Source organism: Homo sapiens, chromosome 10 (genome assembly GCF_000001405.40).
Source record: "Homo sapiens chromosome 10, GRCh38.p14 Primary Assembly".
Classification (NCBI taxonomy): domain Eukaryota; kingdom Metazoa; phylum Chordata; class Mammalia; order Primates; family Hominidae; genus Homo; species Homo sapiens.
Window position 1 is genome coordinate 78948344 of NC_000010.11, and position 14609 is coordinate 78962952.

General features: G+C 52.9%; 1 long non-coding RNA gene across 3 annotated transcripts in view, besides 1 other annotated feature; it reads right to left on the reverse strand.

Moving 5' to 3' along the window:
• Nucleotides 1–14609, reverse strand: part of ZMIZ1-AS1 (ZMIZ1 antisense RNA 1) — a 124123-nt gene that overhangs the window by 5018 nt on the left and 104496 nt on the right. For 2 of the 3 annotated variants that reach the window (NR_015429.1, NR_024431.2), the window contains 3 exons: nucleotides 14481–14543; nucleotides 13556–13706; nucleotides 12911–13064 (listed from right to left, as the gene is read on the reverse strand). This is a non-coding gene — a long non-coding RNA (ZMIZ1 antisense RNA 1). The remainder of the gene's footprint in view (nucleotides 1–12910; nucleotides 13065–13555; nucleotides 13707–14480; nucleotides 14544–14609) is intronic. The other variant, NR_024429.1, reaches the window with a different exon arrangement.
• Nucleotides 7176–7891: an enhancer, noted in NCBI's record as "H3K4me1 hESC enhancer chr10:80715276-80715991 (GRCh37/hg19 assembly coordinates)". NCBI's record gives its function as "activates a minimal SCP1, AML or CMV promoter by ChIP-STARR-seq in naive H9 embryonic stem cells {active_cell/tissue: H9 hESC(naive)}" and the evidence as "EXISTENCE:reporter gene assay evidence [ECO:0000049][PMID:30033119]".

Below are 14609 nucleotides of genomic sequence, written 5' to 3' on the forward strand. Positions count from 1 at the left end.
TGTATTATTAGTAGAGACAGGGTTTCACCGTGTTAGCCAGGATGGTCTCAATCTCCTGACCTCGTGATCCGCCTGCCTCGGCCTCCCAGAGTGCTGAGATTACAGGCATGAGCCACCGCGCCTGGCCTGGGAGGCCCTTTCTATGAAAAGTTGGAGAAAATTCTAAATGTAAAATGCCCATAGCAGCTCACACACCACTGTACACAAAAATTATAAATACAAAATATCCATGGCCTCCCAAAGGGAGGGGCTGGGGAAGTGGGCACCCTGGAGCCCATGCCCCATTAGCTTCGAGGTAAATGGCCCCTGCTGGGCCTGGAAGGGACACATCCCCATTGCTCACAGTCCATTGGCCAGACCAGTCACCTGGGCCCGGTCTCAGCACAGGAGGCTGGGAAGTGTGAGGGAGCCCATGGCTCCTGTGAGCACTAACCACCTCCAGCACAGCACACTGTGCTCAGACAGCTGCGTGATGCAGGGCCACGGAGTGGAGGTGGACGCCCTATGCAAATGTGGAAGAGCAGCATGAACCATGCCTTGGCCAAAGCACCTCCCAAGGATAGCATGACAAAGGGTGGGGCATGGCAGCTGTACCCAGCCCAGACGTCAGGAGAGTTGGCTCTAGTTCCAAAGCTGTTCTTTCTCAACAGTGAGGACCCCAGTGACTCACTCAACCCTCCTGCACCTCACTGGCCCCATTGCCCATGTATGTAAACTGATCCTGCCATTCCAAGGTGAAAGTAAGATTGTCTACAAATGCTTTGCAGATATAGCCCAGTGCTGTGCAGTAGTGAGCCACTTTGTGATTCTCTTTAACAAGGCAGTCTGTCATTCTTCCTTACAGTCACCCAAAATCCAGTAATACCATGTCCCAGATGCTCTGCCCATGGGCCTTAGGGCTGCCTCAGGTATGGAGGCAATGGTGAAAGCCCCAGGTTCCTCTTCTGCAGGCTATCTTTTCTTGCCCCATCTGCATCCCCAGCCCCCAGGAGACAGACCAGGACAAGCAGATCACTCTCAGATACTGCATGAACTTACCAGATCGTCTGGGAGGACTCTAGAATATTCACTCAAGTGCTCCCTATAAGTTAGCTTATCTATCCATCGGTGCTGGAAACGCCTCCAATGGGCACTGGTGGGACAGTCAGAAAGTAGCTGCTCAGCTATTATTGGCTGCATCCCAACCCCCATGCTGCCGATAGACTGTTTTTAAATAGTCATAGCCTCTAACCCTCTCACTCTAGAATGTCATACCACATCATATAAACACATCAGAATGCATCCACATCTCACGCAAGTATCATTTACACCTAACTTCATAGGAGCTGGAGTGAGTTGAATTTAACAAGTTGACATGATGTGATGTTATGCACATATTCAATTAAACATTAATTTTGATTTTGCAGTCATTTTGTGGAGTTGATCATTTCATTCTCGGCTATCAAATATTCTTCAAAAGACTGTAATCCATAAGCCCTGGGCTTGAGATGTCCATGGAAAAACCAGCCCCTGGACAACCCCCTTCCTGGTGTGAACAGCCAGGCTTTGCTGTCTTTTCAGAGGACGCAGCTGCTGTGGCGACCACTCATCTGTGCCAGCCCCAGCACAGGATGCTCCTGCTTCTCAAGTTAGGGCTTAACCTCTTTCTTGCCCCACATGAGGAGCTGAGGGTCAAGTGAGGGGCCGGGGAACCATGGGACTTGCTAGATCCTGTGACCAGAGCAGAGAAGGGAGGAGGAAAGTTGCAGGCAGTAAAGGGATCATCCAGGAGCACAACGAGAACACTGCCTTGACCAAAGTCACAGGCTAGCAGTGGCATGGCCCTAAGTTCTCTGAGCCTCAGGTTCCCCATCTGCAAGTGAGCAAGTGAGGATGGGGAGGGGAGCCCTCTACAGTCTCCTCCTTACTCTACAGATCTAAAGAGCTTCGATGTTATAGTGGAATGTTTATTCTGGTACATTCTGCTGCAGGACTAATAGGGTCAACACAAGTAAATGGGTATTTTTATCCTGGAAAAGGCATCATCATGTATGAGTTGCAGGTGTGCAAATGGATGGTGGGCATGGGTCTGTGCATTTGCTTGTGATGTGTGTGAATCCTGAAGCACAGGTGTACATCGACATTGTGTATCATGCTGTGTCTATATTGTGTAAATATAGACGTATTTGTTTGTGCCATATGTGCATTGTGCATTTGTATGTGTGTGAGTATGTATGTACACACATAGCGAGAGCCAGGTGAGAAGGGATGGCACTCGTGGATCCTGGCTGTTGCTATTTACCTGCCGGGTCCCTGCTTCCCCAGAACCCTTTATTTCCTTCTGGAAGGTGTTCCCATTGTAAGCCATCACACTGAGCTGCCATGCCAGGCACTCAGTGACTGCCATTAGGCACCAAACATGCATGAGTTACACCCTACAAATGTCTTTCCCTCCATCTTCCTCTCTTGACTCCCACGTAAAACCTGTGAGGTCAGTATTATCCCTCCCATTTTGCAGATGAACCAACTGAGGCTCTGACAGAGACTGATATGTGAGAGCAGAAACTATGGGTGCAAGACCTTCCTGCTGCTCACAGGACAAGTTGAGTGGGTCCTTATGGGCATGGCTCTACTTCTGGACACAGCTTTCTCTGACTTCTTCCCTGGCCCATCGAGATCCAAGGTCAGGCAGGAGCCAAGGTCAGCCTGGGGTGCCAGGCAGGGCTGATGGGCAGCAGCTCCACTCTATAGCTGATGGGGATGGCGTAGAGCCAATGTGTTGGGTAAGTCGGGCTGCCGAGGGCCGCAGACGTGTCGGGTCTCGCCTCAGCCCACTGCTCCCTGGGATTAGCAGCTGCAGTCATGAAGCCAGGGAGCCATCTCCTCAGAGCAGCTGGGCAGGGCAGGACAGGGCGGGGGTGAGGGAGCCACTCCTGGGTGGGAAGAGTTTCGAGTGGCCAGGTGCCAGGCCACCCAGGGTCATTGGCGCCATCCCCAGGACCTGCCCAAGTTGGGGCACCACTGGTTGGCTGAGTCTGTTACCACCAGCTGACCTGGCAGCACACCCATCACCTTGCCCCCTCCTCACAGCACTCCCACGCAGGGGCTTTTATGACTGCTTTGTGGATAAGAAAACTGAAGCCCGTGGAAATGAAGTGACTAGCTCTAACGCGCACCATGAGTTGGAATCAGCAGAAGACCCAAGCTCTGATTCCAACTACGTCCCAGCGGAGCCCTTAATAAGGTGGTTATTTGGGCATCTACGGTGTGCCAAGAACTGCACCAAGTACATCTCAGTAGGATCTCATTAAAGACCCAACAACCCAATGAAGTAGAGAGCATCACCTCCATTTGGGAAAAAAAGGAAACAGCCTCAGGGAGGTTAATTTGCTTGCCCAAGGTCACAGAATTAGAAACTGGCAGAGTTGAATCCAAACCCAGATATGACTGCCTCAATGACCTTCCTAAAATACACATCTGACCAGGCTTGGCCTCTGCTTCCCACTGCTCCCTGGTGCCTCAAGGACCACAGGCTAAAACCCAAGAGCCTTCACCTGGCATTCAAGGCCCTCCTCACTCAGGCCCACCTTGCCCTTCCAGCCGATTCCCTCACATTGCTCCTTCTCCAGCCCCCACCCCCTGCAGCCTTGAACATGCTACGTATTTGCAGAACTCTGGCCTGGCAGCACCTGGTCCGTGTGCCAGAAATGCTCTTCACCCTCTTCTCTGCCCCTCAAATTCCCATGCCACACAGTGGAATCAGAGAAAGTGTTCTAGAGAGGTGACATTTGAGTTGGAGTCAGTTAATCCTCTGGATTCATGAAACAACTTTCACATTCACTACAGCATGATATTGCTGAGGAGATGCCGGTGTTTATTTGAATAGCTGGTCACCAGACTGAGAACACTTTCAGGGCAGGGATCATGAACTATTTATCACTGTATCCTAGCAACTGACACAAGGTCTGGCCCAGAGCAAGTACTCACCTAGATGATCATGGGGATGGATGGATGGATGGATGGATGGATGGATGGATGGACGGATGGACGGACGGATGGATAGATGGCTTGATTGGAGGATAGATAAATTAATAGAGGGATGGATGAGGTTGGAAGGATGGAAGAAGAAGGAATGGATGAATTATTCATGTCAATAAGCACAAAACTATTCACCACTGACAGAGTATATTGAATGCCCTCTCTACTCTAATCTCAACACATTCAGCCAGTGACTTGAGAAGCTTCTCCTGATTGCATCCTCTACAATTTTTTGTTCTAGGTTGAAAAAGACCTGGCAGGTCCCTCTGGACAAGGGACAGAAAATGTGTCAGATGGGGTGGGAAAAGGACCCCCACCCAGAGTTGCTGAGCTCACATCCTGGAAACCCATGGCTGCACTCTAGGAAGAAGCAGGGCCTGCCCCATCCCCTGAGATGAGCTACGCAGGGAGGAGCCCACAGTTCCATCTTTCCATTAGCTAAGAACTCTTCCACGCCTGACCTCTCCCAGCCCCAAATTCTACTGCCCAAGATAATTGGAGCTGGGCCGGAGCCCAATGCTGCTTCAGCCCCAAAACCAAAACCACACTGGCTTGAGTAAGAGAGGCCTTCGGCTGAGCATCCAGGAGAGCCTGGGGCAAGAAACTTGACCAACACTTGGAGACAGCTGGAGGCAGCCGGGCCACCATCAGGGGGCAGGTTCTGAGAACCAGGGTTCTGAACGTGGGGCAGTGAGTGTGAGTCCTTCTCCAGGAGCACACAGGCTCTTCCTGAGGAGAGGCAGTGGTCCTGGCTTCTCGTTGGGTTCTACCCCACCCCTCAGCTTCTCTACCCACCCTGCAGCCTCACATCTGCAAGTGAGGCCCTGCCAAGTAAACAGCTGCAGCCCACGCTCCAAGGCTCCCCAATCCCCAGCACTACCCACAACAGCCAAAGCCACATCCCATCCGTCCCCCAACATGGGCCCGAGGGAGGGGAAATGCTCATTAATCACAGGGAGACAGCTTCCGGGCAGCCTCGAAGACAGGCCGAGGAGACCGGAGCTGGGAGGAAGCTCCCCACAAGGTCTCAAGGGAGGTCAGGGCTCCCACTCTGACCCAACACAGAATTTATCATCAGCCAGTGGCTTGCCTTCCAGGGCCTGGGGGAGTCCTTGAGAGTCAGCCAGCCCTGGCTGTGGGCCTGGGCATCCGGAGAGAAGAGCTGATGTGTCCCTCTGCCATCACACCTGCAAACTGGGAGAAGAGCTCGGGCACTACCTGTATGCACCACCTAGAGTAAGTCTTCACACTGTGGGGAGGATTCACACTGATGCCCACGCCCTTGCCCTCCATCCCTAGACCCACAGAAGAGAGAGTCAGCTGTGGTCTTTGGCCCAATCTGAGTCACTGGCAGATGGGTGTTATTGAGCTAGTGTGGTGTTTTTAAAAGTGATGCATTTGAATGTCTTTGGGTAGGATGTGCAGTCTTTAGCAAGACACACCCATCCCCACCCTCATTCCTATTCATGCCTTACCTGAAACCCACTCCTTCTTATACTTGTCACCTGCATGGTCTCTTGGGTCAGTCAGGATGGACTAGGTTTTGCTGCAGGAACAGCCAGCCCTCAAATCTCAGCGGCTTAACAAAGCAAATGTCAATTTCTCATTCACGGTACAGGTCAGATCTAGGCTGGCAGGGTCTCTGCGGCATGTGGGCTGCCAGAGGCTCCGTCCCACTGCGTGCTTCCATAATCCTCAAGGCAGGGGAAGAAACATGGCAAGTAATACTCTGCCCCTAGAGCCTCCACTCAGCAGTAACCCTCTTTGATTCTGCTGTCCTTTCATTGGCCAGAACAAATCACATGCCACACCCCTCAGAAGGGGCAGGGAATGGTGATCCCACCATGTGCCCAGAAGAAGAGAGAGCCAATTGGAATATTTGACCAGCCCTAATGTCGACCACGCCCAGGGAGGCAACACCTTGCAGCCCCTGGTAGACTGAGTGAGGCTCAGCCCTGAAAACTGCAGACACACAACGGCGGCCAGAGCAGCTTCAAACCCTCCCACGGACACTCCCTGAGCACTGTGCCAGGCCCTGGGAGCAGGCAGTGAGGAGCAGAGCCCAAACCTCATGCTCTAGGAGGAAAACACATCACAACACACGACACCCTCAGCTGAGTTGTGTCCGAGGGGCTGTTAGATGATTACGTCCTGTGGTGGGGCAGGGAAAACCACCATCTCCGCCATGCTTTCCCTGACCCCCTCGGCAGAGCAGACGGCATTTAGGATGAGCTTGAAGGAAATATAAGTGTCTGTCAAGTGGGTGGGTTGGGGGATGGCCTTAGGAGAAGCTAGTCAGGGGTCTAGCGAAGAGGGGTCTGGGAAGGATGCATGGTGTGGAGCGGCCCGTGTGGAGGAGGACAAGAGGAACAAGAAGGTGAGCTGGAAGGGAGGGCTGGGCCGAGCAAGAGAGAAGGGCCTAAGATGCCTGTGAAGGAGCCTGCTGCTGCTGGATTCTCTCCGGGGGCAATCTTGTGAACTTCCCGAGGGAAAATTCCAGGCTTTAGAGAGGAAAGATGCCCCACTTCATGTGGTGAAAACTGGGTTCCAGAGAGCTTAGTAATTGCCCCAGTTAACACAAATGGATTCTGGTAGAGCTGAGGTTTGAAGTGGAGTCTGTCTGATATATGAGGACACCCACCAGAATTCAGGAACTGGACGCTTCATAGGTGCTTTATCTAATTTCCCCAAAACCACACGCAGTATGCATCACTGTCCCTATTTCACTCACCAGGACCCTGGTGACCAGAGAGGTCATCCAAGACCAAGTGGTTAACAAGCTGGAGGACCTTGGGTAAGGTCGGATTGAGGCCTGGGGTGCCTATCTCTCATGTGAGTGGGTCTATGCAGCCCCAGGGGCCGGGGCTCTTGGAGAAGCCATGGCAGAGAGGAGAGGGCCAAGAGCAATGGTGGGAGGGAGGGCTGACATCTGCCGGGAGCTGGGTTTCCAACCACCCTGCACAGACCAAGGCCTACCTCCTGATCCTCACCCTGCCTATGGCCAATGCCACCCGGTGCCAAAGGATATGGCCTCATCTTGGAGCAGCTGAGCCCTCTGTATCCCACAGGAATGCACCCCACTGTGACATCAGAAGCATTTAGGCCTTCAAAGCTGGAGACATGCCAGCTGACCCCTGACCTCATGGTGTGACCTTAGGTAAGTTCCTTATCCTCTCTGAGACCCATCAGAACACCTGGGGAAAAAGAGCCAAAGGTTTCCAGTGCCTCCTCTCCAAGGTCATGGCATTTCCTGGGTCAGCCAGCAGTGAGGGGCTGGGCTGAGCTGCCCATCTGGGAGACCCAGCAAGAGGCAACAGGAGGCAGCTGAGCAGGAGGTGGGCAGAGCACAGAGCACCTGGGGGACTGCAGCAGGCGTCAGGCCCCTCCATGGGCAAAGGGAAGGGGACAGACCAGTGCTTCTTAAAGCAAATCTCCACCAAGTCTCTCCCAAGTACCAGGCATCTGCTGAGCCCTGGCGGCATCCCCACAAAACTGCGAGGAGGCAGATATCACAGATATCCGCTCTCCTGGTGAAGGAGCCAAGGCTCCCAGAGGATAGAAGTCATGTTCAAGTGGACATGCTAGGACTCGAATCCAGGTTTTCAAACTCCACAGTGCCACCACTTCCCCAGGGGGCAGGGGCAGGACCCCAAGGCCAGGCAGGAACTAGGAGGGGACTCAGGCATGAGGAACTGTCCAAACTCCTGCCTCTGGAATTAGAGAACAAGGCAGAGGCTTCGAATCTCAGAGCAGGTCCAAATCTCCATGTCCCAGCCAGGCCTGGGGCTCCTGAAATTCCTCATCCTGTCATCAGCTCAGGGCACAAGGGCTAGCCGGTGAGAAGAGGCTCATTCTCAAAGAGATCTTCTCTCCTTCCAGGAATCTACACTCTTTGGACCACTGCGCACTCAGGGGGCCCTCCCATGTCGCTTGCACACTGCCAGTAACAGAGGACTCACTCCCTCTGAATGCATTCCACTTGCAATCTTGGTTTCGAGGGAAACATAACCAGGGGTAGGGAGGATTATGCTCCATGGGGAAGTGCTGAGGTGGTCTCCAAAGCACCTGTCCTCTCCAGCCCTCTTCCCTCAGCTTCCAGATAACCAAGCACAATGCCCAGATTGGAAATCATTATCTACTAAAGATATATGCTCCCAGCAAGTGCTAGATCCCAGGGCTGGCTCGTGATTCCCATCTGCCTAACTGGAAAATCATCCACTCTCGAGCGCCCTCACTTCCCCAGCATGGGCTGCTACAGACTTCCACTCTCAGCTCCCTAAGAAGTTTGACTCAGCTTGTGACCTTGGGCCAATCGCTCCCATCCTCCAGGCCTCAGTGTCCACATCTGTCAAACGGAGGAACAACCTCTAAATGTGTTACCTTCCAACTGGCACAGATCTCTGGACTGTCATCTTCTCAATGGGTGGAGATAGACCAGGCCAGCTGGGCCCCTGGCTAAGGCAGGGCTGGAAGCACAGATCCCAGGCCCATCCTGGTGCCCGTTTCATCAGTGCCTGCTTTGTCTGGAGCTCACAGCAAGCAGGTGAGTTCATTTTCCATTAAGGACAATTATCTCTTCATTTGCATATGCTAAATGTGACATTTAAGGGAGCAGTTCTTCCCCACCCCAAACAGGATAAAAGTCCAATGACAGGCAGACAACCTGCGGTTTAGGGCAGAGGTGTAATTGGCTCTTATTAAGGGAAGATGCAGGGAGATACAGGTTTTGAAATGCAAATGACAGCATCACTTCTTCCACTGGGGCTGAACGGGGAATGACAGGGCCAGGCTGGGCACTCTTGCCTGCTCCGTATCTGGGCAAAGAACAGGCCTCCTGAACCACAAAAAAGAGAGAGATAGAAGCTGGACAGAGAGGGGAAGCACATTCTCTTGGGGATAATGGGACGGACCAGCATATCAGCCTCCCCAGCAGCCCTGTCCCCTGCCTCGGGCTGCCATCTTATGCCCACTGCCTCTCCTTGTCCTCTCTGAGTCAACCAGACTCCACTCCCTAAAATAGGGTCTCTTAGCATGTTCGACCCCGGCTCAGAAACCCCCAGCCACAGTTTTAGCTGTAGCTACTGCCAAATTCCAGCCCCACCACAAAGCCAGAAGGCCCTAAGTACCCCACAGCACATTAGGCCTTTGCTAGGCCCTGTGCCTGAGATGCTTCCCCTGCTCACCCACCTGGCAAACTCTCACTCTCACCTCTAACCAGCTCACATAGTGTGTCCTCTCTGAAACCTGCCCCAGTGGCCTCTTTATTCATAGGACTGGACTCCCTGCTGGGTCTGAGAGTCCGTGGAAGCAGGAAAAATTCTGACTCATCTCAATGCAAGTATCTGTTCAGAGCTGGTTCACCAAAGGAGTTCATAAGAATCAATGTGTGCATAAAAGGAAGTATGAGTGGACAGATGGATGGACGGAAAGATGGGAGAATGAATGGGTGGGTGGATGGATGGATGGGAGGGTGGATGGATGGATGGATGGATGGATGGATGGATGGATGAAGGGAGGATGAGTGGGTGGGTGGATGGATGGGTAGATGGATGGATGGGAAGATGGTGTAACCTTACTATAAGGCTCCACCCTGCACTTGCCTTGACAATTACTTACAGTACCTCCTATTCTACAGATGAGGAAAAGTGAGACTGGGTGAGATAGAGACTCTATCCCCTACTCAAGCAGCAGAACCCAGAACACCATTCCTGACTACCCCACTGAAGCTAGATTGCCATCACTTGGCATCAAAGCCCTCCACAATGATGAGAGCCTTCCACCTGGCCACCTTCATCACATGGTGGTCCTGGGTCCTGACATGGCCCTGGCCTCCTAGGCCCCTTCAGATGCAGCCACTGAGTCTGAGGCTGATCTTGAGGATGCTGTTTCCTCTCTTACAGATCACTGAATACTCCACAGATCACTGACACCCACCTGAATACTCCATAAGCAAAGAAAGTGAGGTCAGAGGCCGTTTTGCAGTCAGATACTGAAACCCAGGAGATGAAACACCTGTTCATAACCCTTCATTCCCCCAAACACCCAGAGCTGTCCCGTGCTTTGGGGAACCCAAGGGGAGGGAAGAAGCAGAGAGAGAACAAAGGGGACTCTGGAATCAGTCTGTTCCCCAAACAGTGACCCCAGCCCCCAGCCCTGCCTGCCTCTCTGGAATCACACCTCCTGCCATCTGCCACCTGTCTGCCCCCCGCCACAGCAGGTGCTTGGAGAGCAGAGAGAGCAGGGTTCACTCCCATTTTGTTACTCATGATCTGTGAGACCTTGGGTGAGTCTTTGAACCTGTCAGAGGCTTGGATTCCTCATTTGTGAGTGGGGATGACAGGCCTTTCTCACCTGCTTTCACATCCTATCCACAGGAAAGCTCTGAGCAGGAAGCATGGGCCCAGCCATGCTTTGCTCCTTTCCTCTTTCCTCCCCTTGACCTCTAAGGAGAGAACTCAGAAGGCAAGGACCCCTGCATGAGTGTGCAAAGGGCAAGGATCAGGTCTGAGTCTCTCACTACCTGCCCCCCGCCCCATCTCCAGCACAGCCTCTACACAGAGAAGGAAGTCAGCAAAAATCATGGGGCGCTTCCGCTCCCCAGACATCTGCCAGAGGCACATTCCATAAAAAGCGGGTGTTTAGGATTCTAAACTCTCAGCAGGACACATTAGGACAAATCCAGAGAGCAGAATAGGCATCCAAGAGAAAAATCTGGACCTGATGGTGACCTACGAGCTCCCTTGCTGCCTAATAAGCCAGTGGAATCACTGAATAGAAGGGGCTTCTTATGGTTCCCTTGTTGCCCACACATTAGAATCACCTGGGAGCTCCTAGGACTCCCAATGTCTGATTGTTCCCCCAAATCAATTAAATCAGAACACCTGGGGAGAGGAGCTAGGCATCAGCATGTTTTAGGGTCCCCAGATGATTCCAATATGATGCAAACTTTTCGGCCACTGGGCTATAGGACAAGTTAGTGACTGTGGGCAGCCAGCCAAGATTTGACCTCGTTCAGAGTGCGTTCTTATCCCTCGCCCCATCTGGTCCTCATCTGTCAGCTCAGGGGCCACATTATTACACCCACTGTACAGATGAGGAAAGTGAAACCTAGGATGTTGCCATGTCTCCTAAGACAATCAGAGATGGAGCTGCAACTGTTGGGGAAGAGAGCCCAATCCCTGGACCCTCAAAGTTGGGCTCTTCCTACACTGACACAGCCACAGTAGGCCCTTGGAGATCATCACAAAGAGACCAGGACCCTAACTTCCCAGCCTTTCCTGGGAGAAGGCTCTGATGGTGGTGGGGAGAGCAGAGAAGGAGGGTGCGTGAGGAAGACAGGGAATAGGGGCTGCAGGCTGGATATAGGCCAGCATGCTGGGCCAATTCGCGCCTGGTCCTCCGTAGGCTCTGGCTCCAACCCAGCAACCTCTTCCCCTCCGACTTCATCCTGTGGTGTGTGAGGGTCTGTTCTGGGGTGGTGAGGCCCAGACATTACCTCTTTATCTGAATCTTTCCTGACATCCCTCCGATAACAAAGAAGGTGGCTCAATAGGGAGGTTTACCAGGGATTTAAGATTCTTCCTCTAGGTCTGTGTTGGAAACACCAACGTCCACATAAAGCCCAAGGCACCATTAGTGGGGAAATCAGGGGGGCCCACAGCAGCTCTGGGGGCTGGCTTAGCTCCCACCATCCCTTGCAATCTTTGAAGACTGCCAGCAGCCATGTGTCCAGCCCCCATCCCATCCATTTCAGGGGAATGAGAAAAGGCAAGGAGACCAGCCAAGTTACATAGCACAGGATGATGCACTGCTTTGCAGTCACTCAGACTGGAATTCAAATCCCAGCTCTGTGGTGCCCTTTTGCTGCGTGACCTTGGACGAGTTGCTTTAACCCCTCCAAGCCTTGGAGCTGTCATGGATAAAATGGTGGTAATAATGATCCTCATCTCCAGGTAGTTGTGGGACTGGGATTAAATAACATCCGTGCTGGCTGTGGGCCCCTGGATATGTTATTTTGCTTTCCTGTGCCTCAGCTAACCCATCTATAAAATGGGAACAATAACACTTATTCATAGAGGCAGAGAGAATGAAATTGATGAAATGAGTCAGTCTACATAAAGTGGTTAGAACAATGTCTGGCATACCTCAAGGACTCCATCACTGCTCCCTGTTACAGCGTTCCTAGCATGAGTCCTGACACACAGTAGTGCCTTCTGAAGCGCCTGCTTCCTCCCTCCCCTTCCAGGCACTTTTGGGATGTGGCCGAGTGCAGTCAGCTGCCTTCCTCTGATGCCTGGTGCTGGCTCTTGGCCAACTCCTTAAAAAAACTGGAAGCAGTGACTACTTTCTCTTCTCCCTTTTCATAAAGAGATCGCAGAACAGAGGCACTGACCTTGGGCAACCTTGCACCGCAGTGTTTTCCAAAAGACAAAACGCTACAAATCACTGCGGGTGAGCACAGCACACCACCCGCACCCCACCTCCCTTCCACATCCCAGCCCCACCTGAGCAGGACTGCTCTTTTCCTCTCTGTTTTTCCAATTTGGAAGATGCCCCCAGGCAGAGGGAGCAGCTATACCTGGGCAGGGCACGAGGGCCTCAATGTTATGGGATAATGAAGAATCGTGGAGACTTTTTCCCCAAACTCAAACAGCACTTGTTAAGCACAGGCCTGTACCAGACCCCCGGCTGCCCACACTGGCCAGCATTTCCTCCCACCCTATTGAAGCCCTGAGGGGTATGGTTCCCAGCATTTCCAGAGGGGAAGCTGAGGGCCAGAGACCTCGACGACTTACAGCTGACCATGGAGAAGAGGAATAGTCAGAACTTGAACCTGCGACTCGTGACCCTGCGTCTCTCATTCTTTTTGCATTAAGACTCACTCTTTGAATACCTGGTAGAATTCCCTGCAGAGGTGTCAGGCTCTTCGAGCTGGGCCAAAACCAGTGGAAGTCACTGAAAAGTTGATGTCATGTCACAGGAAGCATGATATACACTGACCAGGGACTGATCAGGAAGTTTCTGGGGTACAGGGGCGTTTCCAAGACCTGGTAAAGAAAAGACCAAGGACCTTTCCACCTGGGAGCCTGGAGCACTATGAAATTGGCTCATGCGACAAACATTCCTTGAGCACCTTCTCAGCTCCAGCCCAGGCTCTGGGATGCAGAATGTATGGGACAGGAAATGCCCTCGCATCTTGGAGCTTACATTCTATTTAGGGTAGTGGAGAGGACAACAAAACAACGTAGTGCTCTGAAGAAAGTAAAACAGGGTAATGGGACGGAGAGTGAATGCAGGAGGTGGTGGGGGGACAATATTAGACCTTGACTGAGCGTGGTGAAAGGGAGCTAACCACACGGAGACCCAGGGGCAAAGAATTCCAGCAGCAGAAACACCCTGCAAAGGAAGGGAGATGGGAACTGGTGGGTGAAGTTGGGGAGGAGAAAGGAGGGCAGGGACACCAAGGCACAGTGGGGCCTGGAAGGAATGGGAGGACGGGAGGCCAAAGGTGGCCAGGGCCAGGTCGCAGAAGCCCTACCTGCTGGCCACAGGATGCAGGGCCCCAGGGGAGTGCCATGATCTGATTTTGTTTGTAAACCTCCTCCAGCAGGCAAGTGGAGAAGGGAGCTCCGAGCACAGGCAGGAATGCAGGAAGCCCAATTAGGAGGCCAGCCGGTCATCTGGTGGACCTAAGACAAGGATACAGACAGGAATGGTGGCAATGGAAGTAGTGTGACATGGAGACATTGGGGATCTGGAGAGTCAATAGATTTGGTTGTTAGCAGGAGGCCAGGAGTGACACAGGACGATGGTGAGGACATTCACAGAGACTGGCTCAGGGAGAAATCAAGTGTTGGGTTTAAGCCATGAACACTTTCGTGGAATACCTACTGAGGGTCTGCCCAGCCATCTCCTGGAGTAAATGCCCTTCTTGGGTCTGGAAGATGTGGGGCCTAATGCCAGCTCCAGACAAGGAGGAGGGAGGGGAGGAAGTCCCCTAGTTCTGAGACCTCTTGGAGCATGTAAGTGACAAGGATTCTCTGTGGGGCAGGGCCTGTGCCTTTACACAGCTCCTTCCACTGAATTTATCCCAGCAAAAGAAACCGCGGGGCTAGGCTGGCAATGCCTTATAGCTGAGCCTGCTGCAGGGGAGCAGGGTCGGGGTGCTCCACAGTGAGCCAGGACAGGTTCTCCTGGCTCCCCTTTGTCTGTGTCACCTCAGGCCAGTGGCTCCCCATCCCAGGTGACCAAACACTTATCCCAGCCTCACGCCACAGACAGCTCAGAAGCCGGTCCAGCTCCACCAAAGCACTTCCTGGAGTCAGAAGTATGGCTTTCTTCCAGCCCTGGATGGAAGGGAAAGAAAGGGCACCCAGGGCAGCCGGCCACCCCCTCCCTCCCCTCCTGCAGCCAGAGAAGTTGGTGCTCCCTGCTCAGGACATCCTCCCAACCCCTAACCTCACCTGTAGAGAGATAAGCGGCACTTGGATTGCAGGAACACCATGAAAGCTGGAGAATGTCAGGGCCTGATGGAATTTGAAGTCAGACAAGGAAGGGTTCAGATCCCAGCTCTGCTACCTACTGGGTGACCA